Genomic DNA, 25,886 nt, shown 5'->3' with positions numbered 1-25,886 from the left:
CTACTATATGCTAGGTACCATTTTGTATGCTGGGGATGCAATAGAAAACAGGCCAAACAAAGTTCCTGGGTTCATGGAGCTTATGTTCTAGTGGGATAAGAGAGAAAACAAATAGTGTATAATACAACATCAGCTATTGGTAAGTGCTATTGGAAAAAGAAGAGTCAAAAGGGAGCAAATCATGGAGTTTCTTAACTACATGGGTAAGATGAACCACACTGATTTTTTAAAATACCAGAGTTTTTAAAACTTGAATGAAGTGCCCCTTTGAAGACAGTGAAACTTCGTGAAAAGAGAAGGAGTGGTGCAAATACGCATCATTGTAGATTACTGTTTCTTCTAACATTTTGGGTTACTGATAGATCTGCCGCACTTGACTTTGTACCTTAGCTCTAAGATGGTTGCATGCGCCCAGGAAAAGGCCATATTGCCACAAGCATCACCAGGGGAGAAATAGAAACAATAATAAGTTTCTCAAGTCCCCCAGGTAGAGATCCCCATCCCTACTGAGAATGCCCTTTGATGCACAGTTGCCAAACGGAGAGAAGGAGAGAGGTGCCTGCTTAGAACTGATAGCTATCACTTACATCTCATTGGAGAACCTCTATTGTTTTGTATCATAAAACTGCAACAATTATAGGACCATCATGGAACCTGCTCAATCCATTCGCTGAAAATTGTTTGAAAGTGTAACACTTGACTACTGTGGCTTTGGGTTGTCCTCATTGTTTTTCAAATTAATACCTTGTCATTGTTTCAGCAGGTGTTAAGAAATGTTACTAGCATCCCAGGGGCCAAGCATTGGCCCTTTGCATGATAATTGTTTGCTTTGTATCAGGAAAAAAAAATACAGTCCTACTGTTTCTAAACCTTCCTCATTTTCACCCTGGAAATTACACAGAAGTGTTAACTAACTTCAATTTACAGTGCCTGACAGTCACGTCTAGTAGAGAAATGATACTTTGTGATCTAAGGTAAATCACAGTAATGAAAACTAATCTTTTTAGTTATTAGCAGACATATATATCTACTGTGGAAATTTGAGGGGTTTGTGGCCACTCTCCTAATGACCTATATTACAGTGTTTTAATAGGTTTCTTTGGAGATAACTTTGATTGTGACATCTCAAGCAGAGTGCTTTCTGAGTTTCTTTTTTTTTTTACTTCCCTACAATAAGTCATTTCCTAACTGCAGGATGAACCACCAGCTTACCTTTCCAGAAAATCTGATTTATTTAAAAATCAAATCCTCTCCTCCTTCCCCTGCCTTTTGTTTCTTCTCTTCTTCTTCTTCTTTTTAATCCTTGGACTTTAAGGCTGCACTGGAAGCAAAGACAAATGGTTTAGTGTCTCCTCTGAGTGAACTAATTAATTAGCAAATACTATATCCACTCAGGTTAAGCTATACACACACACACACACACACACACACACACACACACACACACAATGAGACTTGGGTAGGAAGAGGTATAGATTGAAACACAATTTTTTTTACTTAGTACTTTCTCAATATTTTAAAAGAGGAAAAAGGAATGGGAAGTTCCATCACCCGTCTGATAATATATTAAGGACAGTGGAAAACAGTATGTTTGGATATTCTTTAATGCAGGTTTCAATCCAAGGCAAAGTCAGAGAACATCTATGGGTTATGCAGTAAAGATTTATCCATTAGATAAATTTGCCAGGAAAAAATTTATCATAGAAAAACTATTTATAAAATCCTACAATCTCAATGCCCTTCTTAGCCAGGCTTGATTTCTGGAAAGAGGAAGCAGTTCTAATATCAATTCCTACCAGCCCAGGCTGTGGACAGCAATCCCATGCCTACAAAGCTGATCCAGCAGAAGCATCTCAGGGTGTGTGAGGGCAAGTAGAGGGTACAAGTGAATGGTAAACAAGGAAGAGTGGCTGTCTGAAAATTCGTTTTCATGTTTTCCTGTTTCTTTACAGAAACCCGGGATGGACGTGGCCGACGCCTACGTGACTTTCGTCCGCCATTCTCAGGATGTCCTGCGTGATAAGGTCAATGAGGAGATGTACATAGAAAGGTTATTTGATGTAAGTAAATGCCTTCTCCTCCTTGAAAACCAAGGAGGAGACCCTCCAAAATGTGACAAAATAAGAGACAGGAGGATAAGTCACATTTTGAGAAAATGGATTGGTTCTGATTCAGACTAAATCTTTTCCTCTCCCTCTGCCTTAGGCTCTTATCTGTCTTGTGTCTGTTCTGAACCCACTCTGGTGTGGCAGTGTCTCAGTCCCAATCTGTGTGATACGTAGGACGGCACACAGCCTCTCGGCAAGCAGGCTCATTCCTGCACGAAGCTTGCAAGGCAGCTCTCTCTAACTGGCAAAGACCTTTCTTGGTCATGGTTTTCCTCCTTGCAATCTGGCCTCACTTTAGGGAGATATTCTCATCAGGGAGGCTGAGACCAACTCCCTCTCCTGGGGGTGGCGCCTCCCTGACACCAGCTGTGGTGTGCAGATGTGCAGTAAATGTCGCATCGTTATCACTTCAAAGATAATTTCATTCCTGGAAGACTGGAAATCCTTACCCTGGGTTTTGGCAAACACTTACATTAGAGTTGCTCAGTCAGTTGCAGCTTTAAACCATGGCGCCCCCTGCCCACCCAGCCAGCTGATAATTTATGAGAAACAGGTGTACAAAGAATGAGTACATTGGGCTGCGGACCCAGATCAAACTTCAGAAAATGCAGATTACCAAGGGTTAATCATTTTTGAGCAATCTTATTTCCACTGAGACTGCATCTGCACAGCAAAGCAAGCCACTGAGGCAAAAAGAAAAAAAAAAAAAAAAAAAGGAACCTGCTTCAGTCTCAAATTGCCTATCTCTTTTAGGCCAAAGCAGATGAGGCTACCTAATTTAGCCAGATATTTCATCTCGGGTTTCCACCGAATTTGCCAGTGTAGACCCGGCCAGAGTGCATGGAAGCTGATGTTCTTGTCTCCCTGTGGCTCTGAGTGTGCAGCCTACTTCTGTCTTGTGAAACGTGAGCTCCTCCTGTCCAGGTTTCCATATTTTTAGTGCCAATGCGAACATTAATGTTTTGGTCTACTATGGAATCCATGTTTCTATTTTTTTTTTTCTGTGATTGTGTTCAGCAATTTACATTGAGTTTGTGTGTGTGTGTATGTGTGTGTGTTTTTGTTCCACAGCTAAGTGAGCTCATTGTTGGCACCGCTTTCTGATTCTGCGGCTTCTGACTTTTATATGCTTTGACTTCCAGCTCATTTGCTTTCCTCGTGTGTAGAAAGGCTCCTTTCTTTTTTTTTCTTTTCTTTTCCAATCGTCCCCTTTCTGTGCTTGATACCCCTCTTTCCCCTGCATCACCTTTCCTCGACAAAACCCTTCTTACTTTTTAATTCCCACCCATCCTCTCTCAGATAAAAATGGAACTTATCTCTCATGTCAAATGTTTTATCACATTATATCAAGTGGCATGAATTAGAATCAAATAATCTTCCTGTGTACATCTTCTAGCATGACCCACATCCACTGAGAATGCCTCATACATGCATAAAGCTCACCAGCGGGTCCTCCCCCTTCTCTGCATGCATGCCTTATATGAAAGTACTGAGCCTAGAATGTCCGGGGCACAATCACCATCCAATAGGCATTGAAAACAGAGACAGGCAGGACCCTCGGGTCTGCAGTTAGGAGTGTGGACACTCTGCCCATCTCCATTGAATTAAATTCCAAACCACAAATATTCAAGAAGCCTGTGGGTTGTCCTTTTCAATGCCTAGGTTGCCTTTCTTTTTCCTTTGATCAGTATCTTCCGATTCTCAGTTTTATGTGGCCCGTGTGTACGTGTGTGTGTGTTATTGTGTGAGTGTGTGTGAATAACCAATAACCTTGTGTTCTCTAAAACTTAAATCTAGTACTGAATTTGATGTTTAATCTGCAGTTTAGCTTGTTACTTAATTGACAAATAATCCACCCTTGCCTCTCTTTTTTTGAAATTAGAAGTACAAGCAAGGTAGCCTTGCTGAACGCAGCAAGGCACATTATCTCTTTTGTGGCTCTTCTTAAAGGAAAGTGCAACCAAATCTTCATTTAAAAAGGAAAAGTGCAGCCTTGGCTAGTACAGGTGGTAAAACTGGACTTGCCTGACTGTTGAAGACCACAGGCAAAATTCAAGCCCTCCAGCCTTTAATTAATTAATTAATTAATTAATAGTAAATTAATAGTAAAAAGAAATATTACTGAGAATATTTTTTTCCGAAAGCAAGTTATAGTTAGGGACATTCAAAAATTCACAAGTAACTCCAGTCCCTTGTTGAATTCCACTGACCAGCATAAAATAGCATCAGTAACATTGTGGAAACCCCCACAATTTAGTCTGATGTTGTCCCAATTTGGTTTTCCCAACGGAGTCTTAGTTATACCCTCCTGAGTATATCTGATGGTAAAGGCTTAACTATTACAATCACTCACTGCACATCACTCCCGGCCCCGTGGAAAAAAAAAAATTTTTCAGGAGCTTATTTAGAGATAACAAGTTTCTTTGCCATTTACTTTCTTACTTTCTAAATAACCTGATCTCCTACTTTACAGAATATTGGTGCTAGGCAACCTAACTGATGTAGTGCAAAAAAAGTTATTGAATCTGTCATGGATTTAAAACATTTGTCATTTTAAAAACCCAGAGCTTCTCGAAAAGCTTCATTACCATGCAGCCTTAGTAATTTAATTCAGTACTTACTGTTTTTCTATAATCTAGCAGCAAAACATCAGATTACCAACATGTTTGATTATTTTCGGCTTCTGTTTCCTCAAGCATGGTGTTTATTTCTTTGTGTACATGCTCTGCAAATCTCTTGTGTCCACCAAGCTAAACAAGGGAATAGGAATATCAAGGCAGAAGGGTCTGTGAAAGCTGCCACTCTAAATTTCTTGCTGCAAATGAACTTATTCTTTAAATCCCATTCCTTAATGATAGGGGTCCTGGGGCAAGTTTCTAAACAATTGGCAGAAACCTATTGAGAAAGACTTGTTGCTCTGTGAGATTTTTCTTCCAAATCGTTGCATTTTGATAAATGGCAAAAATGAATAATAGCAAATTAACATTTTGAATGAAGAAAAAAATATATATCTCCGAGATTGTTTGCTGTTTGGGGGTTGTTGATTCTGACTGTTGTGTCATTCTCTGGTTTTTAGTTCCTGCTGGCATCTGTCATTCAGAGGCATGTTCTAAGAGTTCCTGTTGTGTTTTTAACTGTGTTTCAAGTCTCAGTTTTATTTACCTGATAAGTCCTTTAAGTTGTTGCTGTTTGGTATTGTTCCTGTTTTTGCCCTTCTGAGTGTGCCCTTGTAGAAAAGGCTGGATGGTTTTAGTGTGTGTTTGTATTTGAGAATATTTGGATTAATAGCTGGTCATTTAACGGTGCATTTTCTGCTTTAACTAGGCCCCTACCCAGTGCTCTCTGAGCTAGTTTTCTCTCTGCCACGTCATTGTACTTTTGGCTGGAAGTGGGTGCTTGTGGGAGATTATCGGCATAGCATTTGGGACTCTATATTTGATGTTCTGCATTTTTATCTATTTTATTACGTAACTTAAGAACAGGCTTTCCAAATTCATCCTCACCGATTTTTTTTGTTTTAACCAAGCATTCTCTAGGTTTATTGGAGAAATACATTTGGACATAATGTTGCCTAACTGGGTTGCTTTTGCCATTAAGATTCCTTTGTTTATTAATATAATTGATTTACCTAGTCTTTCTATAAAATACTAATGACTTTTTTGATAACGCACCTAAGAAAAAAACTAACCAATCCAAGACAAAGTGCTGATCAGAAAAGAATCGGCAAACTGTTTCCCATAATATTTCAGATGTGCAGCTGGACATTTTTTATCTGCGTTTTTATATTTTTTCATAAAAAATGAAGTGTAATTGTATATTGTTTTCAGTTGCTGCAGAATAACAGTTTATAACATTTTGAAACAAAACAAACTGAGATTTAAAGTAAGAGAATATTCCAATATACACAAAAACAATGAATTCAAGTAGATTAAAGATGCTGAATTTTTAAAAGAAGATCAGACTGCTGTGAGACTCAAGTGGAAGCTTAGCCTTCTTGAAAATTATTGCTGACATTCAAAGAAAATATAAAACATGGATATGAAATAATCTCCATATTCCTAAAGCAGCAGCTACAGAGGAAAGCACAAGCTCAAGAAATAACTTGAAGACAGTGATTTAAAGTTGGAGTATCCATAAATCATGCAGATGGCTTTTCCCTCCTTCTCTAGTGATTAATTCAACATCTTCCCCAAAATAAAAACATGCTTTTTGAAATTAGAGATCAGATCATCAAGAGACGCACCTAAGATTTCAAGGTCTAAACAAAAATTAATTTTCTTTCTTCCTTGTACTTCTTGAAGACACAGACTGAGAAGAAAATCGGGATTAAAAGAGATGTGCTTAGGGTGAATTCATCTGCTTAAACCTCACAGGCTCGGAGATGAGTGATTAAAAAGCCATCTCGAACTTGGATGGAATCCACATTGGTAGTAATGCCGCATCCGCACTGGCTTTCTTCAGGCCCCGTGTCATTGGGAACCAGGCCCAGGGAACATTTGACTGGAGATGATACATGGATTATATAGGTCAATTATACACTTAATCTGCCTTCTGGAGGATTAAGTATTTGCAGATTGACTCTGCATTTGGCTTCTCCGTGGCAGTTATCAGATCAGGAAAGGGCCTCTTACCAAACCACCTCGTAAGAACTTAATCAAGCAGTGTGGTCAGCTTCGGAAGGGGCTGCTACTCAGTATTCTTTGCCTCGCACGGATTTTAATTTGCTGTTCCATTTTCAAATCGTGTATTTGTCCAGTTTGTGTGGCAGAACAATAATTGAGTGTGACTAGTTCCCTTGAAAAGGGTAATTTGAAACATGAAACCTTTGCCTGTTAAAATATATTTGCTATATTTATATATGAAACCACAGATACCCTTATTTTAACAACCTTATTAAATTACTAAAGCACCATACATGTGAGCATATATCAATCAAAGTAGGAATCATCCTGCTGGAGGATGAAAGTACCAAATAATAGGCTACAAGGAGGACATGACGCTATATCTGTAAGGTATATCACCAGCTGTCCAGGTAAGGGAAACCACTTCCAAAAATATGAAGTGGGGAGAGGTGCATAGGATTCACTAACACAATAAGTTGCACTTCTAAGGGGCTGATTAAAGAAATTCAAGGCATATGGCATTCTAGACACTGAGACAGTGAGTTATCTCCTCTCTAAGCAATAAGCAGACGTGAGTGCCCTGAATGGGACTTACTGTGCAGTGATCATGGGCCCTGCCTCTGGAACCTTCAGACCTGATCCTTACTAGCTGGGTGACCTTGAACAAGGCATTTAATCTCTAAGAGCCTCAGCTGATTCATCTATATAACAGGGATGATAATCGTGGAGTTATTATGAGGGTGAAATGCCATATGAATCTGCAGCATCGAGCTCTGAGGAAGCATTGGTAAGTGTTAGCCACCACCATCATCATCATCACTATCATCATCATCATCAAAATGGAAATGCTTTTCCCAGCCTTCTTTTTTTCCTTGTTAAGCAAAGTTTCATATTCATGTTAAGGTGCTATGAGTCTCCCCATCACTTTAAGACATTAACCCCAAGCTTGCTTAGAATTGCTTGATGTAGAGCAGCCTGGTACCTTTTTTACTTTTGGTAAAACATCTTCCTGAAACAGGCAAAATAGTGATGGTCAGGAGTGGGGCTTTGAAGTAAGACAGACAGAAGGAGGAAACTTGGTTCTGCCACTTTTGAGCTTTCTAACCTGGGGTCAATTATTTCACTTCCCTAAGCCTCAATTTCCCCATCTGTAAAGAAACTGGCTTCTTACAGTTTTCGTGAGGACTAAATGATATAATGAATGTAGACAGACGTAGTTAAAAATTCAATGAGTCTCTTATCATCATCATCCTTATCATCTCATAGAACTACTTGTTCCTTCAAGTGATTTTGAAATAGCCTAGCTCTACCCCCTCAACAAAACTACACTGCATTGCCAAATAAATCAGAATTAACCTTCGGAACTTCAGGGTTTTGGGGGGTGGGGGCAGAGAGAGGGAGGGAGTAATTAATACCCTTTACTATTAAGATGCAGTATATGTATATTGTAGACATTTAGAAAATATGGCTAACCAAAAAATAAGAAGATTAAAATGTTGTGTTCCCAGCACCCACATATCATTATCAGTGGTGTTTTTTTTAATCTTTTTCTATATAATTATATATATATATAATGTACTCTTTTTCTAAAATGAGTAAGCAAAAAAATTGCTTTTTAAAGTTAATGGTCACTATTTCCCATGCCAGTAAATTTTCCTCTCATACACTGTATTCAAAATTACCCACTTGTCCCCAAAATATTCTTTACAGCTGGTTTGTGCAAACCAGGATTTGATGCAGGGCAAGGTTGTGATGCCCCTTAAATTTATTTTGAACCAGCACTGGCCCTTTTTTCATGATCTTGACTTGTTATAGGGACTGCCGTGCCAATTGTTCTGCAGACTGGAGGAGTTTATTACTATCTAAACATAGAACTGATTTGCTGAGAAAAAAAAAAAAAATCAAGCTGAATTCAACCAAGTAGTTCTTTTAAACATAATTAGTAACTTAGCAGAATTCAACCGGGGTTTTTTATTTAAGCTGTTCTCTGTATGTAAGGAAAACTTCTGAAGCTAGTTTAAAAAAAAAAGATTGAGGGGGGGCTAAACTGTAAAAAACTCACAGAGGCCAGAGTACAAGGTGGCCATGTGAAGACATACAGAGATTTTAACTACTGGAATAAGGCACAGCTATCTGAGCTGGGTGGGTAAATCAGAGGGTCACAGTCCAGCATTTCTTGTGTCACTGTAACTGCTTTGAAGTCTTAGACTGGTGACTTTGACACACACATACCCATACTATTGGGAAGGGTCCTTTGTTAATTCTACCGGGATTTTCCCCGAGGTTATCAATCTGAAATTAAGCCCTCCAAATCAGTCTGAAGCTGAGCTTTTCCATACTCTTTAGATCAAATTTTAATTGAACTGTGACCTCATCTCTATCCTCAATTATGAAGCTAAAGAGCATGTCAGCCAGGCTACTAGGACATCCCTTAGAATCTGTGAGATTATGTGTATTGAAACCAGAAAGCTAATCCAAATGAACTGGGAAAGGCAGTTACAGGAAGAAGAGACAGTTGATTCTTTCATCTATTTTCGAGCCCCAAAGTAAACTCTGGCAATTAAGTCATACCCTAGGCCATGCATTACAGCTGTAGAGTGTCATTTCCCAAAAAGAATACAGAAACTGGAGACAAGTTGGAGGGAAATGAGAAACCCATCACTCACCTTGATTGGTAACATTACCTACTAAATATTGTTACGTAACGGGTATCTATATATATATGATATATATATTTTAAAATAGGGTGTGTGTGTATGTGTATGTATGTATGTAAGATATATACCTTATTAGGGAGTTAAGTTTCCTTGGCAGAGGAAAACCATGTATTCAGTCCCAATCTAAGCTCTGTTTGGATTCTTGGAAGTGAACCTCAGGATACTTCCAAGCTAAAATTAAAAAACAATCCAAGTTCGTTTTCATGACTTATGCCCTCCAGGGCCACTCGAATTCCCAGTGTCTTCATGCTTTCTCTAACTCCCACCATCCAAATCTGCTTTTAACAGTTTTGATAATTCCTCTTCTATTAGGATGAGAGGAGATGAACCGAGTGTTTTGGTGCTTTTCTGATGCCCTATTGCAGTGAATAGTATTCAAATGTCAATCCCCTCTTCCCCCATGGGCTTCACAATTACAAGTAAGTGATAACAATTAATTACTTTGCTTTTGGAGTCTTAGGTATAGAAACACATTTCCATTCCACATGGACTTGGGAATGCTTCACTCCATGCCTGGGTATTTTGAACTTTCAGCAATCCTGCATACAAAAAAAGATAAGGGGCATTAACAGATTTGGATTAATCATGTTAAATGGGTTATTACTATCCAAAAGAAACTGAGGGGTTTTTTGTTGGTATTCTCACAGATTTACATTTCTGTAACATATCTTCAAGTAGTTTTCTAATCTAGCTATTTCCTTCCAAAGCCATTCATAGAAATAGAACTCTCTTACCTTCAGGCAAACCTTACATAAAGCCAGTCTTGAATTTTCTCTGGAGCTTGTAGGCAATGAAGAGTTTTGCTAAGTGTCTTTATCAGAACAGCTTTCTGTGTTCCAGAAGACATTTGGTGAAGACAGTTAATTTGTTTTCCTTTCCAGAGGAGAATGTTCCATTAATCATTCTAAGAAGCCAAGCTGATTGCTCTGTTACGTTAAGGTCACAGTATTCTTGTTAACATGACCCACACAATACTTCTGTGTCTTAGAACAGGGGTTTTTTTTTTTCTTATGGCAGACTTAACGGCATGGAAGCAGTAAGTGACAGACTCAAACACAGTACACATGTACAAGTACGCGTGTGCACACACACACACACACACAAACACACAGAGTAGCCAAAGCACATTTTGTGGAAGAAATATTATCACATTGCATTGCAGGAGACGAGCTGTGTTAAATCCTCAAATACTTCTCATTTATTAAACAAGTAACTATTTCTCTCCCTGCTGGGCTCCAGATAGGCTATCAAAAGATTTCACGATCAATACCTAGATACATAGTTACTGCTCTAATTATTTTAATGAGTGAATTTAAATCTTGCATAGGTTCTTTTTATTCAAAATGTGATCCACAGGCCCTCAGCATCAGCATCATCTGGAAGTTTGTAAGAGATATATAGTCTCAGCCCTAACCCCAGACCAAATGAATCAGAATCTGCATTTTAACAAGAGTCTCTTTGATTCAAGTGCACATAAAAGTTTGGCACATAGTGGGCAAGATCAATTACTTCAAACTTATTTGCCCCAACTCACAATGAGAAAGAAATTTTACATTGCAACCCAGTGTGCGTGTACACACACACGAAACAAAAGTTTATAAAACAATATTTATGTGATGCAGTCTGATAGTTCCTGATATTACCACTGAATTTCAAAAATTTCAGTGGTAACAGGTAAAATGATTCTACTACACACAAATAAGTTTACAATCCTCAGTTTCAAAAATACTTCTAAAGCAAAGTTTCTCGTCTTTGGCACCACTGACATTTTGAGTCAGATAATTCTTTGTTGTAGAGTGCTAGTCTGTGTATTAAAGGATGTTGAGCAGCATCCCTGGTTTCTACTCTAGACACCAGTAGCAGCCACTGTCCTTCTCAAAATGAAGAAAATGTCTCCAGATATGGCCAAATTTCCCCTGGGGGGCAAAATCATCCCCATTTGAGAACCACTGATCTGCACGAACTAGAAAAGAGGTTACCACTAAAAGTATACAGGTAGCCCTTCCTCTCTGGATGTAATACAGCCCCCTGCCACTGCCATCATCACACAAAAACGCGATGAGTATGATGTAGCAACAACAAAGTCGAGCTTAGGAATTGTTAAAATGATTACTCAAGAAGTCCATGTGTCCATCTGGGAGTTAGCTTGGGAGCCTTTGCCAGTCTCTGAAGGAGATTATGTTTGGAGGACTCCATGCAATGATGGGAAAAGCTTGTTAGACATCCAGGACCCTCTTCTCCCCTGACTGTATCCAGAGTAGTCCCACTTAGAGCCAAAAGAAGGAACTGGAACAGCACGTTAGATCAGCAATACAGCTTCCCACTTTGGCCTCCCTTGATTACTTCTCTTTCCTTTCCTTTTTATAGTTCCACCCGGACCTCAATTTAAAAAAAAAAAAAAAAAAAAAAAAAAAAAAAAAGTCTTGCTTCCACCAGGTGGCTGCAAGTTATTTTTGTGTGTCCAAAAACCTGAAAAGAAGGCTCAACTTAAATACTTCATTCATTCCAAATTCCCAGTTCAGAAGAGAACAGTTAACAGCCTCCTGTTCTTCTGTTAAACTCCTGCTGAGTTGACTAAAAATCCAGTTAATAGAGTCTAGTGATTTGCCTCCAGTGTGAATATTCCTGTATCAAAAGGCTTACAATGATAGTGTCACTTGCCATATTGGGCTGCCTTGACTGCCTTTGGCAGAATTTTCCATTCTGACCATCCCTGGACTAAAGCCAGTTATACCAACAAAGCTCCAGGTCTTGCCCAGGATGGGAGTATTATTAATTAACAGATCTGTATGCCAACCAAGGTATAAAGCCCCTCTCATTATTTGTGTAGAAAAAAAGATTTTTTTTTTAGAAAAGAACAAATAATATGTAAAGTAAGCAAAGTTAAATGCATGAGTTGCTTTCTAGTGAAATTTCTTTAAAATCATCTTTTAAGGAAGAGAAATATCACTCCCTTTTGTTCAGAAAATTCATTCTTTGCCCTAGGAAATCATCCTGTTAAAGAGAAAAGACTCAGTTATTAGGTGCTTCATTAGTTTGGGGAACTCTGAGTTAGTGCTTCTACCGGGGGGTGATTTTTGTCCCACAGAGGACTTTTAACCATGTCTGGAGACATTCCTGGTTGCTACAACTCGGGGGTTGGGGGCATGTTACTGGCATCTAGCAAGCAGAGGCCAGTGCTGAACCTCCTGTAGTGCACAGGACAGCCCCTACAGTAAAGGATGATCCAGCTCAAAATAGCAATAGTGTAGAGAGATTGAAAAACCATGCTCTAGATGATACTTCCACTGACACAAATCATTTGTCTTTAGTGAATGGATTATTTGAGTTTAAATCATGAGCATGATCTGTGGGACTCCAGTGACTGTCTCTAAAGGATATTCTACCTGGTAGATATCTCGGGAACTCGTCTCAGAAATCCTTTTGACAAGCTTCATCCAAAAACATGTTTTTAGGAGCTAAAAAATAAAAAGCAATTATTAACACCTAATTTTGCCAACTTGAACTTAACACTCACCCATCTATAGTTCCCATGGAGCATTAATGCTTCAACAAAAACTCAGATCTTGTCAGTTCAATGAGTCACTACAGCCTCCTTCTACTGAAAGGTGCCCTGTCAACTTTTCTTTTTTTTTTTTTTTTGATACGGAGTCTCGCTCTGTCACCCAGGCTGGAGTGTAGTGGCGCAATCTCTGCTCACCACAAGCTCTGCCTCCTGTGTTCACGCCATTCTCCTGCCTCAGCCTCCCTAGTAGCTGGGACTATAGGCGCCTGCCACCATGCCCAGCTAATTTTTTTTTTTTTTGTATTTTTAGTAGAGACAGGGTTTCATCGTGTTAGCCAGTATGGTCTCGATCTCCTGACCTCATGATCTGCCCCCCTCGGCCTCCCAAAGTGCTGGGATTACAGGAGTGAGCCACCATGCCTGACCGCCCTGTCAACTTTTCAAGGGACTTGTTTCTTTATATCGAGCAGATGTTAGGAGCATAGGCTTTGCAGTCAGACATTTCTAAGTTTAATTCCTGGGTCTGCCACTTACTAGCTGTGTGACATCGGGTAAGCTACTTTACCCTCTCCAAGACTCAATTTTCTTTTCTGTAAAAAAAGTGGATAAAAACAGTAGGTAGCTTTTTGAATTAGGAGGACTAAATGAGGCGATGCCTCTAAAGCACAAACCACAGTGCATGGCACATAGAAATGACTCCATGAATATCTCTTCTTATTGTTGTCGTCATCAGTAGTGGTAGTGGTGTAAAAAACCAACACACGGCCGGGCGCGGTGGCTCACGCCTGTAATCCCAGCACTTTGGGAGGCCAAGGCGGGTGGATCACGAGATCAGGAGATTGAGACCATCCTGGCCAACATGGTGAAACCTCATCTCTACTAAAAATACAAAAATTAGCTGAGCATGGCAGCGCATGCCTGTAATCCCAGCTACTCCAGAGGCTGAAGCAGGAGAATTGCTTGAACCTGGGAGGTGGAGGTTGCAGTAAGCCGAGATCGTGCCACTGTACTCCAGCCTGGCGACAAAGCTAGACTCTATCTAAAAAAATAAATAAATAAAAAACAACACACACCCCACACCCTTTCCTAATACTAAGGTAGGCTTTGCAGCGGAGAGAAAAGTAGCGATACATTCCACACCAACAGGGATCTTTACCAGTGATGAAATGATCAGAAAACATGATAGCAAGTAGCAGAGAGCTCAGTTGTGCCACAGTATCGCTAAAGGAAATCTTTCTTAGACTAAAGTAATATCCCAGTGAGATGGAAGCCTCAAAGAAGGTGCCCCAGGAGGCAGGACTGGGCTTAATCTACAGATGTCCAGGATTTGGGGAGGCGAAAGAGGCAGGAGTCTATGCTTAGGCACTAAGCAAGGAAACATTATTGCTTCCTTTGGGAGTGTCCCTGACTTACCAACACTGTATCTTCATTAGCCTTAACAGAGCTTCTCCTTGGAAATATTCTTTCAGAAATTACACTATTCACTTTTAAACAAAGGATGGCTTCAACCCAGTTATGATGACTCCAATCTAGGCATGTAGGTACCTGCTTTGTAGGCATTCGCTGCTCGAGAAACTTGAGGGCTAAATTCTTTTTATATGCGTGTAATTTTGTCTTTTAATGTTTGCTTCTTAACCAGGGGTATGCATCAGAACTACATATGTACTTTTTTATTTTAAAAATGTACTCATTCCAGTTGTACATTAAATATTCTGATTCAGTAGATCTAAGGTAGGGATTAGACATCTGTTTTTAAAATAAGTTCCGAGAGTTTAATCTGGTCAAGAACCACTAATTTAGAGCAGTGGTTCTCCATTGTGGGTGATTTTGTCCCCTACAGCACATTTGGAAATGTCTGGAGACATTTTTGATTGGTGGCGGGAGGGTGCTACTGGCATCTAATGGATAGGCGGTGAACATACTACCATGAACAAGACAGCCCCCCCATAACAAATAATTATCTGCAAAAATGTCAATAGTGCTGAGGTGGCTGAACCCTGACTCTAAGGATAAAAGATACTGAAATACATGTTTATTTCTGTTAATACCCTTCCTACTTTGTATCTTACAAGACTTCATAACTTTATTTATTCTGTAGCAACACTGTGGAGAGATGGGAAGAGATAGTATTATTTTCATTTTAAGACAGGAAACCTGAGGTCCAAAATGAACTTGCCCAGATCCTCAGGGCCCTTTCTTCTGAAACTATGGTATTTTCATCCCCACCTCTGAGAGCACTGTTATTGTCTACCTAATTCACCACTAGTGTCCGGCATATGTAAGCCTTCAATAACCATTTGTTAAATAGGTATTGATGACTTCCTAGCCCTGATAGTATCTTGTGTAGTTTGTCAGGTATATTTTCGGTTTCCAATTCTAACTCAAAAACATGAATTAAGTCCTTAAAGAATCTCACTGTGGATTTTTGCAATTGTCAGTTGATTTTTTGTAAGCCTTGAAAATATAGTATTCTGGTTCATGTAATGGGTAATGAATCGCTTTGGCCCATTTGATTTTTTGGTGAATTTGAAGATTCATTGGAAAACCTTTTCTGTTTCGACAACTTTTGAAACAATTTTGTAAATGTTTTAGTTCTGTTTTCCACCTTATTGAGCATCTGAAGCCAAGTCTAATGCTCTGGGTCAAGACACTTTAGAACTCTTGCTTCACACTACTTAACCCCAGGTGTCACTATCCAGTCTCAAAGATGTTAAAAGAGTGAATTATCAGGCCAGGCGCGGTGGCTCATGCCTGTAGTACCAGCACTTTGGGAGGCCGAGGCAGGCAAATCACGAGGTCAGGAGATCGAGACCATCCTGGCTAACACGGTAAAACCCCATCTCTACTAAAAATACAAAAAGTTAGCTGGGAGTGATGGCACACACCTGTAGCCCCACCTACTCGGGAGGCTGAGGCAGGAGAATCACTTGAACCCAGGAGGCGGAGGTTGCAGTGAGCTGAGATCGTGCCACTGCACTCCAACCTGGGTGACAGAGTGAGACTCCGTCTCAAAAAAAAAAAGTGAATTATCCAGAATTGCACTGCGAGTAAGTTCCCCAACTCTGGATACAGTGCTCTTTCTGCCATACTCTGTGCCTCTAGAAGATGGGGCTACAGTGTTTGTCAGCCCAAAGCACATTCTGAAAGCTGCTCTTTTGATACAAATCCCAAAGAGGGCTTTTAGGGAGAGAAAAAAAGGCAGCATTCTCCTAAGAGGAAAACACGAGGAAAGATTCCAATTAATTGAAGTTTCTAATAAATGGCTGTTTAATAATAACAATTATAACATTTATTTAGAGTTTTCTAAATGTATATTTTCCTGACTGTACATTAGAGATAGCAGCACCATCTTGTTAAATGTGTTATTTCTTTTAAATCCTCTTAGCAGCCCTAGGATATAGGAACCTTCGTGATCTCCATGTTACAGGTATTGAGGCCAATGAGAGCCAATATTCACTGGGCACTATGTACCAGGTACTGTTCTAGGCACTTAAGTGTAATAATGCATGTAATTTTCATGATCTCCTTGTGAGGTAGGTTTTTATAGATGAAGAAATTGGTTTACTGAGTGGCAAACTGACTTCGGCAAATTCAGAAGCCTGGAAAATAGTCCTAGATCCAACCTCTTTCTTTCTGACCACAAGAATAGCCATGTAACTATAATATCTTAGGCAAAAACTTTACACTATTCAAATATGTGCTTCCTACCCCTAAAAGCCCCCACTATACTGAGTGCTATGTGTCCCAAATTCATCCACTGGGGTTCTTACTGTAATCACTATTTCCCTCATGGATCACCGCAGGATATAAGACAGAAATTGTGATTCTATGACCCTCTAGCTAGAACGTGGCTTATTAGTCACAGCTTGTCCACTAACAATGATGGGTGTTGCATAGCTAATCAGAGAGACCCCTTAATGAAAATTCAACCCCATTAGGGCAGGTCTTTTCGTGAATGTGGGGACATTGTCACTGGACTCAAGCTCTATGAATACCAGCAGACCCTGGTCCTAAAATGATCCCAGAAAGCACTTCTGTAACCCACTTCAGGGTGATACCCCATCCTCAGCTGAAAGAGACTACAGCGCAGTAGGGAATCTTGCATACCATATATGCTTCAAAATCCACTTCTACCTAGGCCTAACTAAGGGGTAGGTCTCAGCTTTCAGTCTATCTCTCCCTCTGTGTTCTAAGATCTTTTATCCCATAAGAATAAAGTTTTGTGGTTTATTTGGGGGGTAAAATGTTGGTAACACAATAGCATTACATCCCAGACAGTTAATAAATGGTTTAGGGTAGCAGCTTAAGTTCCTTAAGCAAAGCTTGACACAGTGGTATTATTAAATAACAATGCTCAAGATTTTCCAATGAGGTACTGTTGACTCTTTTAACCTACCTACATAGCTAAGTTTTCAATGGCACTATGAGGTTTCACAGATTAGCAATACTTTATGGAAAGGGGAGGTGAGTAATCGACAGTTATAGAATAACATGGTTATACAATCTGTGCATAATACAAATGGAGTTGCAACTAAATCATTACGTGGTCATTATCCAATAATGCCTAAGATGTCAGCAATGTGAAAATTTGAGATCAGGTATCACCAAAGTCCTTTCTTGATTTATTTCTAACCAAAGCTTACACTAAACAATGTGACAAGGTGATGAAAGAGAAAAAAAGTAAGGAAGGAAAAGAAAAGAGGAAAGAAAGAAAAGAAAGAGAAAGGAAGGAAGAAAGGAGAAAAGAAAAAAAGGGAGTTGTTTTTTCTCTTGAAACTTTAAAGAGCTTTCCCGATAGATCGTCAGCTGTTAGCCAACTCTTGAAAGTGGCAAATCCCTTGGCCATTGGAAAGTGGCCTATATGCATTGTTTCTAAAGAGTTTGTTTATTCAAAATATGTCTGGTTTTGGCATTCAGGTTGGGGGCTCAGGGGCAGTGGCTGAGGTCAGCACTGCGTACCGTTTAATGAAGCTCACTCTTGCCTGTGGTTTCTGAACACCATCAAATAGTGGTAACTGAGGCAGAAGGGTAAGTGGATGTGGACGTGAGGGAATTCTTGTAAAGGCTCCCCACTTGGCTTACACAGAATTAGAGAAATGGAGGCCTGCTTGCATTTGTTGGTGCACATTAGAAATAAATTTGGGCATTCAACTTAAAGAACTCGCTAACGACAAGATGCACAAAGAAATGCTATTATGTATTTAGCACAGTCTTTGTAAGCTTAGCCAGGCAAGGAGGCTTATCAAAAGAAATATGTAAATAACACAACCTGCTTTACAAAGGAAAAAAGAATAAAATTAATCCAAGACATTCGTGGCGTAATACTATTTTCTGCCCTCGGCTTTTCTTTTTATAACTTGAGACATGCAGCCTAACAGTCCAGCACAAACAATAGCACACTCCAAAAAAACCCAGACCCGGGGCATCCCTCCATCCCTAGGAAAGAACTCCAAATGCGTCTCCAGCCTCACACACAATATTATTATGAAATCTGACATTGTCATAGCCAAATCCTTGGCTTGGGCAAAGTCCCCCCTTCCCCCTCCTTTGGGGGGAAAAGGGGGAAGCGTCAGGAGGGGTGGGGGAACGAAGCCAATCAAAGTTAAAATAAAGTCTCTTTCTAGCAAGACTACTGTCTATAACATGTTGTTCCTTATAGAAAGTGGGATATGGTGGCATTTGCTTGATTAACTTGCTCGACAAAAGTGACAGCTGCTGTGGGTGCATGCGGATAAGCTGCACGGCGCAGTTCCGCCTTTGTACATCTGTCAGCAAAAAGGGAAGAATAAAGAGTGAAAAGAGACAAATTGGTCCCAAAAGACACTCCATTCAACTTAGGAGGTTTGCCCCATTCAGGCGCTCGCTGTGCGCCTCAAGTACTGAGAGCTTATTCAATTTCATTCACTCTTTCGAATGAACCCACAAGTGTTTAATTTCTTATTCTGTCACCTCAAAAGGGTGGGGGGTGTGGGGAGGAAGGGGGAGGGAGCCTTGTGGACGAGAAGCATTGACGGCAAGGCAGAGTGATCCGGGCCTCACGTATTAACTCATGGCTAATTTATGATTTAACTCTCTGTGCTCAGGCCCTAGACCCATCTGAACACTTCAATGGGGGACCTGACGCAGACTTCTTACCTCCTGGCTGGTGGATCCCAAACCATCTGTAGCTGTCGAGGGCACCCAGCATGTTGAATGTGTATCTTGTATAAGGACAATGGTCTGAGGTTTGTGCCTTTTACAGAAATGAGATGGCTGGCTCCCCAGGGTAAGGTTTGGGTAAGTGATCTGGCAAGTGTGTGTGTGTGTGCCTGTGTGTGTGTGTGTGTGTGTGTGTGTGTGTGTGTGTGTGTTCGTTCTCCCTCCCATAAAGAGAAAAAAAATAGAGTCATATGCAGTGAGAAGTAGAAAGAGGAGAATACGGTTTCCTGAGAGTAAAAATAAAGCAAGAGGAAAGGGCGCCATTGGAGGCAGAACCCAGCTGTACATGGTGAAAACACATGTTAACTTTTAAAAAGCAGCACTTTGTCTTTATTTTCCTCATTCCTGGGCCCCAGGCATCAGAACCTGTTTTCTAGACTCCCTTAATTGGGCAGTTGCTATGGACACCCAAATATTCCCTCCTAGGAGATCAAGATGCCCTCTCCATCCACCTGTGCTGCCTGCCATGCTCTCCCCAATCTGCTGCCATCTTCCCTCCTCCAGCCTTCATGCCACTCTGCCTTCTCTTCTGAAACCCAACACCCCTCCCAGCTCCTGGACCACCATCTGAATATTGTCCCTGCACCCAGTCCTTGTATGTTGACTGCTTTTTGGAAACCACTCAATGCCATATCCAGCTCCTAAAAAGATCATGTTCTTCCCTTATGAGAAATCATTCCCCAAAGAGCTCATGTTCATTGAATTGAAATAGATCTAGTTTCAAAACTGTCTAGAGGACTTTGGAAAGTGTTCTTAACCCAGTTAGAGTTGTTGGGTCTTATTGTCTTCAAATTCTAGGATTCCAGACAGTACCTTTTAGATGGTATATTTGTGTCCTTTCACTATCTGCTTGGAAACCAGCTGTGTGGTTTAATGTAAAGCATTCCATTTACCTATTCACCTGAATTTTTTTCCATGTAATAGCCTGGAAATTATGTACATACATAGACCATGCTTTTGTATGTTGAGAGTAATGATGAAAACCACCTCAGCCCGGGAAAGCAACTCCCTAAAGTCAATTTGAATTTTCCTAAGTAAGAACTTCAACTTTGGCTCACAAAACTCTAATGATTCATGACTCTAGAAAGTTTAATGTGTGCAAATTATGAAATTAGCCCTAATATGATTAGCCAACCCTGTTTTAAGACGGCAGAGTTGGCACTCCACTTTATCTTTCCGTTCTGTACATGAGTTACTATCCTTATTTTAGAGTATGATTTCTATAATCATTTCTATATGGTATGCAAATTTCTTATTCAGTTGCTTACGTCAATCTGCTTGCGAATTAATGCAGTTCACTCTAAATGCAGTTCCCATACCTAAGAAGCGATCAGGGGAGTGGGCAGATGCTGTTCGTGAACAATCTGAATTCAGTTCATACGCTGAATCCTTCTCCTACATCTTAAGTTCTTGTATGCATATCAGAGAATAGTTTTCAGATAAATTATTCGCACTGCTCACAAGGATAATGGGTGGTAGGATGTGCCACCAAAACTGGAATTTTCTTTTTGACATAATCAAGCTTTAAAAGATTGAGACGACTTGAAAGTGCAAATTCAGATTGTAACTATACATTTTCTCAAAACAGTAAGTTCCTTTGAGAGGATGGAGGCTAAAGGCATGGGGGTCCATTTTCTCAGTGCACAGGGAGGCCTATGAATAAATCCCCCAACATATCCAGAGAAAAATAGGCCCTAGGAAAAAGGTATTGTTAACAGTGGTCAGTTTGTTAATGCCCAAACTGCACACCTGCCCTGGGAGACACAGGTGGCAGACAAGGCCTGGTTAGAAGCTGATTGGGGCTTAATCACATTGGGCTCATTATTTATGTATCTTGAAGAAAGAAATGGTCGGAACTGAGAAATTCAGGTACATAAGAGAGCCATTCCTTTTCTCTTACATATCACAGTTTCCCGGTTTGCTTGCAGAAAGTAAGGTGTCAGCTTCTGATGTTTGCTACAAAAATTTTCTATGTAAGTGTCACAAAATCGAGTTTTCCTGATTTTGCTGTGATATGTCCTGCTGTTGAGCCAGGGGTATTAGAGCAGCTGGTGTCTGGCCCATGTTCCATTTTTCATTCAGGGTTTGACCATTGGTTACATTTTTATTTAATTTCTTAGACATTCCGCAGTTTCAGAAGTTCTGTTGTGCACAGGCAAGCACAGATCTAATTTTGACATCTAAGTTAGATTCTTTCTTTCAAGGCAGGAGGGCCTTGGAGGCTAATCAAAAGAGATAGAGGGGGGAAGGTATATTTTGATATTTGGGCACCTTGAGTTCAAAGGTGGGAGGGTTTTGAAGGTTTTTGCCTTGCTCTTCATTTAAGTTGATATTAATAGGGCATTCATGTAGTTATAGAAAACATTATTTATCAGCCGGGCTTGGTGGCTCACACCTATAATGCCAGCACTTTGGGAGGCTGAGGCTGGTGGATCACTTGAGCTCAGAAGTTTGAGACCAGACTGGGCAATATGGCGAAATCCCATCTCTACAAAAAAATACCAAAAAAAAAAAAAAAAAAAAAAATAGGGCATGGTGTTGCATACCTGTAGTCCCAACTACTTGGGGTGCTGAGGCAGGAGGATCACTTAAGCCTGGGAGGTTGAGGCTGCTTTAAGCTGAGATTGCCACTGCACTCCAGCCTGGGTGACAAAGTAAGACCCTGTCTCAAAAAAAAAAAAAAAAAAAAGAGAGAAAAAAGAAAAGAAAAAGAAAACATGTAACCCATGGGCTTCCCAATCTCTGAAGGCTCAGAAACAGGAAAAATACAATAAAAATTAAAAGCCAATTTATTACATATGAAATTACATTTCCTTTTCTTCCTTTTTCATAGAGAACAAATTCATATAAATATTATATACTATAGAAATGTAAAATAGGATTTAACAAGTCATTACTTCTTAAGGTTGTTAGGAGAAGTAAATGAGTTTAAGTCATATACACTGCTTAGAATAGTGCCCGATATATAATAAGTGCTCACTAAATATTTTCTTTTCTTTTCTTTTCTTTTTTTAAGATACTAGGATCTCACTTGTTGCCCAGGCTGGCCTTAAATTCCTGGGTTCTAGTGATCCTCCCGCCTCAAACTCCCAAGTAGCTGAGACTATAGGCACATGTCATTGTTCTCTGCCTACTTTTATTATTATTATTGCTAGGTTTTTTTTTGTTTGTTTGTTTGTTTTAGAGACAGTTTCACTTCGTCACCCAGGCTGGAGTGCAGTGGTGCAATCATAGCTCACCTCAGCCTTGGAACTCCTGACCTATAGTGATCCTCCTGCCTCAGCCTCCCAAAGTGCTGGGATTACAGCTGTGAGTCATTGCAATATTATTAATGTCACTATAGAACTTTTTTCCAAATCAGATTCAATGAGACATAAACATCCTGAGAGAATTTAATGGGTGGCTCATGAAGAATAGTTCTTCTGTTCTGGCCAGGTGCAGTGGCTCACGCCTTTAATCCCAACACTTTGGGAGGCCGAGGCAGGTGGATCACTTGAGACCAGGAGTTCAAGACCAGCCTGGCCAACATAGCAAAACCCCATCTCTACTAAAAATACAAAAATTAGCCAGGTGGGGTGGCACACACCTGTAATCCCAGCAACTCAGGAGGCTGAAGCCTGAGAATCGCTTGAACCTGGGAGGCAGAGGCTGCAGTGAGCCGAGATTGCACCACTGCACTCCACCCTGGGCGTCAGAGCAAGACAGTCTCAAAAAAAAAAAAAAAAAAAAAAAAAAAAGAGTAAAAGAAAAATAGTTATTGTGTTAAGTACATTTGGAAAAACACAAAGTTAAACGGACTTCTCTACTACAGAACTTCTCAGAGCGTTTAATATGCTAATGTGGCACAACAAATCAGAATCACCAATAGTGTTCAGACAGAGTACAGCATAGAGTATGCACACATGTATTCACATATACATTCACAGGCCAGTGAAAAATGCGAAGCTAGAAAAATGTATGCTTAGCTGGGCACGGTGGTGCACGCCTGTAGTCCCAGCTACTTGGGAGGCTGAGGTGGGAGGATCACCTGAGCCCAGGGAGGTTGAGGCTGCAGTGAGCCGTGATCGCGCCACTCCACTCCAGCCTGGGTAACAGCAGCCTGGGTGATGACAGAGTAAGACCCTGTCTCAGAAAAAAAAAAAAAGTATATTAATGTCACCTTTAATTCCTTTTTAAAACTTAGAGTTAAATCCCTCTGAGTAGTCATTTTGTCCTGTCTGTGTTTAGCCCACTGAAATGATAAAATAGCAATGGTCCCCCAGGAAGAACCTCCAGTTTTCCTCCTACCAATCTTTGAGAGACCATAGCTGGAGACCTGAGTGGGAAACATAACTTTTCCTGCAGCTGGGAGGCTGCTGGTCTCTGATGTACACATGTTCTTTTCTTTTTATTGGGCATTGTTCGGTGTCTTCATGTTTTTGAAGGCGTTTCACAGCCTCAAATCCATAAACTTCAGAACCACCTCAGATTCAAAAGGTGAAAAGGCCCTTACTCAAAATTTCAAAACAAGTTCTTATTCTAGACAAAGAGAGGAGTCGACTCTATTTGGAGCTTTCCAGTCCAAGTATATGTCACCGTTTAAATAAATAAAAAGACACAAACTGTCTGGATTGGTTTAGCTGGGCTGGGAGCCCTGTGATAAGAGGTCACTGGTGTGAGTTACTATGGTAATTGAGTAGTATCAGCAATAGTTTTGCTCTCATGAGCATTAAAGCACATAATAATAGGCAAACAACAGTGGTTAAAGCAAGCAGGTAGGATTACTATGTTCTTTTGTCAGAAGTATATAATGTCTTGTAGTCAGTTTTAAAGACTTCTCAACCCCCAAATCCACCCCACCGTCACCTGCTGAGTAATTTTGTGTGCTTAATCTCCTGCCCTCAACTCCAAGCTCTCTGCTAATTTGAGGCAAATGGGTATTTCTGACATTAAATAGGGCAGCAAGGAAGCTCTGACCTAGAAAACCCGCATTCTGAAGCACTGAGAAAAATATTCTTTCAAACAATTTTGTTAAGACTCTTTTGAATGACGAGGGAAAAAGAAAAATAGCTTTCACTGAAACAGGAGGTTGCAGCCTCCCAAGGAAGGGTATTTTGCAGAACAAGAAAAAAGGAAAGAAAAAAGAAAGAAAGAGAAACTTGCAGAGCATCCCCACTCCCAACTTCCCCCATAAAACTTGTCACTTCGCATTGCCATCCGCTACCCCAACAATAATCACTCCGTGCCTATTGCTAATTGCAAGCACAGCTGAGGCCCAGCGGGGAACCCTTGCACAGTCTCAGGCCTTTATACGAGGCTCAATCTGTTGTATGGCACTTGTTCACACACAAAAAAACTACCAGCAAAGGCAGAAAGAGGCAGAGTCACAGGTTTCTTGTAATCCCTCTGCCTCCCCGCTGACAGCCCAGCCCTAGAAGCATTCCTGGTTTTGTCCTCCTCTTTACAAAATCTGAAGTGACCTTAAGCTACGAGCATGTCAGCTTTTGAATGTCGAGTTGCCGGCTTCTTCAGGTGCATTAAGGAGTTGGGGGGGTGGGGGCTACATCTGGCTTCTGCGTGTCTGTTTGCAGCACCCCTGGGGCGAGCTGTGGCTTCCTGTAACATGTAAAATATGAGTGTGAACTCAGGGTTCATGGCAAGGAACAGGAGGTCATGCCTCCATTCAGTTCTAAGTAAAGAAACTGGGAGTTTGCAGATGTTTTTCTGTATGTGTAATGACACCAACCCCCTCCCCAGCCACCGAGCAACCGAGCGCCGTTTTTTGATAAAATGTGCCACAATCAGTGTGCTACTTGCAGATTTATTCATATCAATTTTTGCAATTTATATATTCAGAGACAAGATTGCTATTTCGGCAACTTTATGTTGGATGTCGTACGTGTGCGTGTAGAGAAAGAGGGAAAGAAGTATGGGGCGGGGAGGGTGGGCAGAGAAAGAAAAGAAATTAAGCCTGTGCCTCGGGCCACCAGCTGGGGTGTTGTCAAGGAGACAAAGCATCAGACGGGAGGGTCTGTGTCCCGCTTTTGCCCAGCGGTCACTTCCTGCCCAGACTTGGAGCTGGGATATCTATTGCTTCTGGCCCAGAGGAAGGCCCATGAATGGCTACTTTGAGGGGAGAGTGGGTTTGGGGGGGTTGGGAACAATCCCCCAGTAGACAAGGCCCAGGCCACTTGAAGAAAGGCCTTCCCGTCCTCCCTGGAGGTCAAGAACAGGTAGGCCCGAGAAGAGTTTTGATGTGGCCTCTATTTGGGCCTAGTGGGGGGCTCCCAGCCCTTCCTTCCCACCTTGCCACCCTCTGAGATGAGAAGGGAATTAAGCCTCCTGCAAAATTCCCACTTGCAGAAATTTCTATTCCCAGACCCCAAAGCCTCACACTGTATTTTCACCAACAGAAGACATTGGTTGGGCGAACAGGGAGATTAATCCTCCCAAGCCTGGAGAATAAATGCTCCTCAGTGGGGCAGTGTTAATTGCTGAGCTTGGTGCAAAGATCATTTTGAGGCATTTAAGAAATACATGATTTTTATTAGTATAACTGTTCCACGTAGGAGTTATTTTTCAGCAAAGGGCAAAAGCTTTGCCTGCCTTGCATTATTAGCCTAATTCTACTTAATTGTTTCCTAAAATAAGGGCTTCCTGAACACACATTCCAAACCTTAATAAGTCTGTTGTGGTGGGAGTGATTCTGGATGGAGAGCTGTTGCCCTTTTGGGCAACTGGGGTCTCAGGGCTGAGT

The 25,886-nt window shown here is 40.7% G+C and overlaps 1 protein-coding gene across 50 annotated transcripts in view, besides 3 other annotated features; it reads left to right on the top strand.

Moving 5' to 3' along the window:
* Positions 1-25,886, top strand: part of CADPS (calcium dependent secretion activator) — a 477,069-nt gene that overhangs the window by 435,253 nt on the left and 15,930 nt on the right. For all 50 annotated transcript variants that reach the window (NM_183393.3, NM_001438352.1, XM_011534199.3 and 47 more), the window contains one exon: positions 1,953-2,060. In NM_183393.3, coding sequence (NP_899630.1) covers positions 1,953-2,060 — 108 coding nt within the window. The remainder of the gene's footprint in view (positions 1-1,952; positions 2,061-25,886) is intronic.
* Positions 17,740-20,022: an enhancer, noted in NCBI's record as "VISTA enhancer hs1316". NCBI's record gives its function as "enhancer in: forebrain[11/11]" and the evidence as "EXISTENCE:transgenic organism evidence [ECO:0001131][PMID:17130149]".
* Positions 23,688-24,510: an enhancer, noted in NCBI's record as "OCT4-NANOG-H3K27ac hESC enhancer chr3:62401329-62402151 (GRCh37/hg19 assembly coordinates)". NCBI's record gives its function as "activates a minimal SCP1, AML or CMV promoter by ChIP-STARR-seq in naive and primed H9 embryonic stem cells {active_cell/tissue: H9 hESC(naive and primed)}" and the evidence as "EXISTENCE:reporter gene assay evidence [ECO:0000049][PMID:30033119]".
* Positions 24,511-25,333: an enhancer, noted in NCBI's record as "OCT4-NANOG-H3K27ac hESC enhancer chr3:62400506-62401328 (GRCh37/hg19 assembly coordinates)". NCBI's record gives its function as "activates a minimal SCP1, AML or CMV promoter by ChIP-STARR-seq in naive and primed H9 embryonic stem cells {active_cell/tissue: H9 hESC(naive and primed)}" and the evidence as "EXISTENCE:reporter gene assay evidence [ECO:0000049][PMID:30033119]".

Source organism: Homo sapiens, chromosome 3 (genome assembly GCF_000001405.40).
Source record: "Homo sapiens chromosome 3, GRCh38.p14 Primary Assembly".
NCBI lineage: Eukaryota > Metazoa > Chordata > Mammalia > Primates > Hominidae > Homo > Homo sapiens.
Note: the sequence above shows the minus strand (reverse complement) of the source record. Positions and strands in the feature narration are given on the sequence as shown.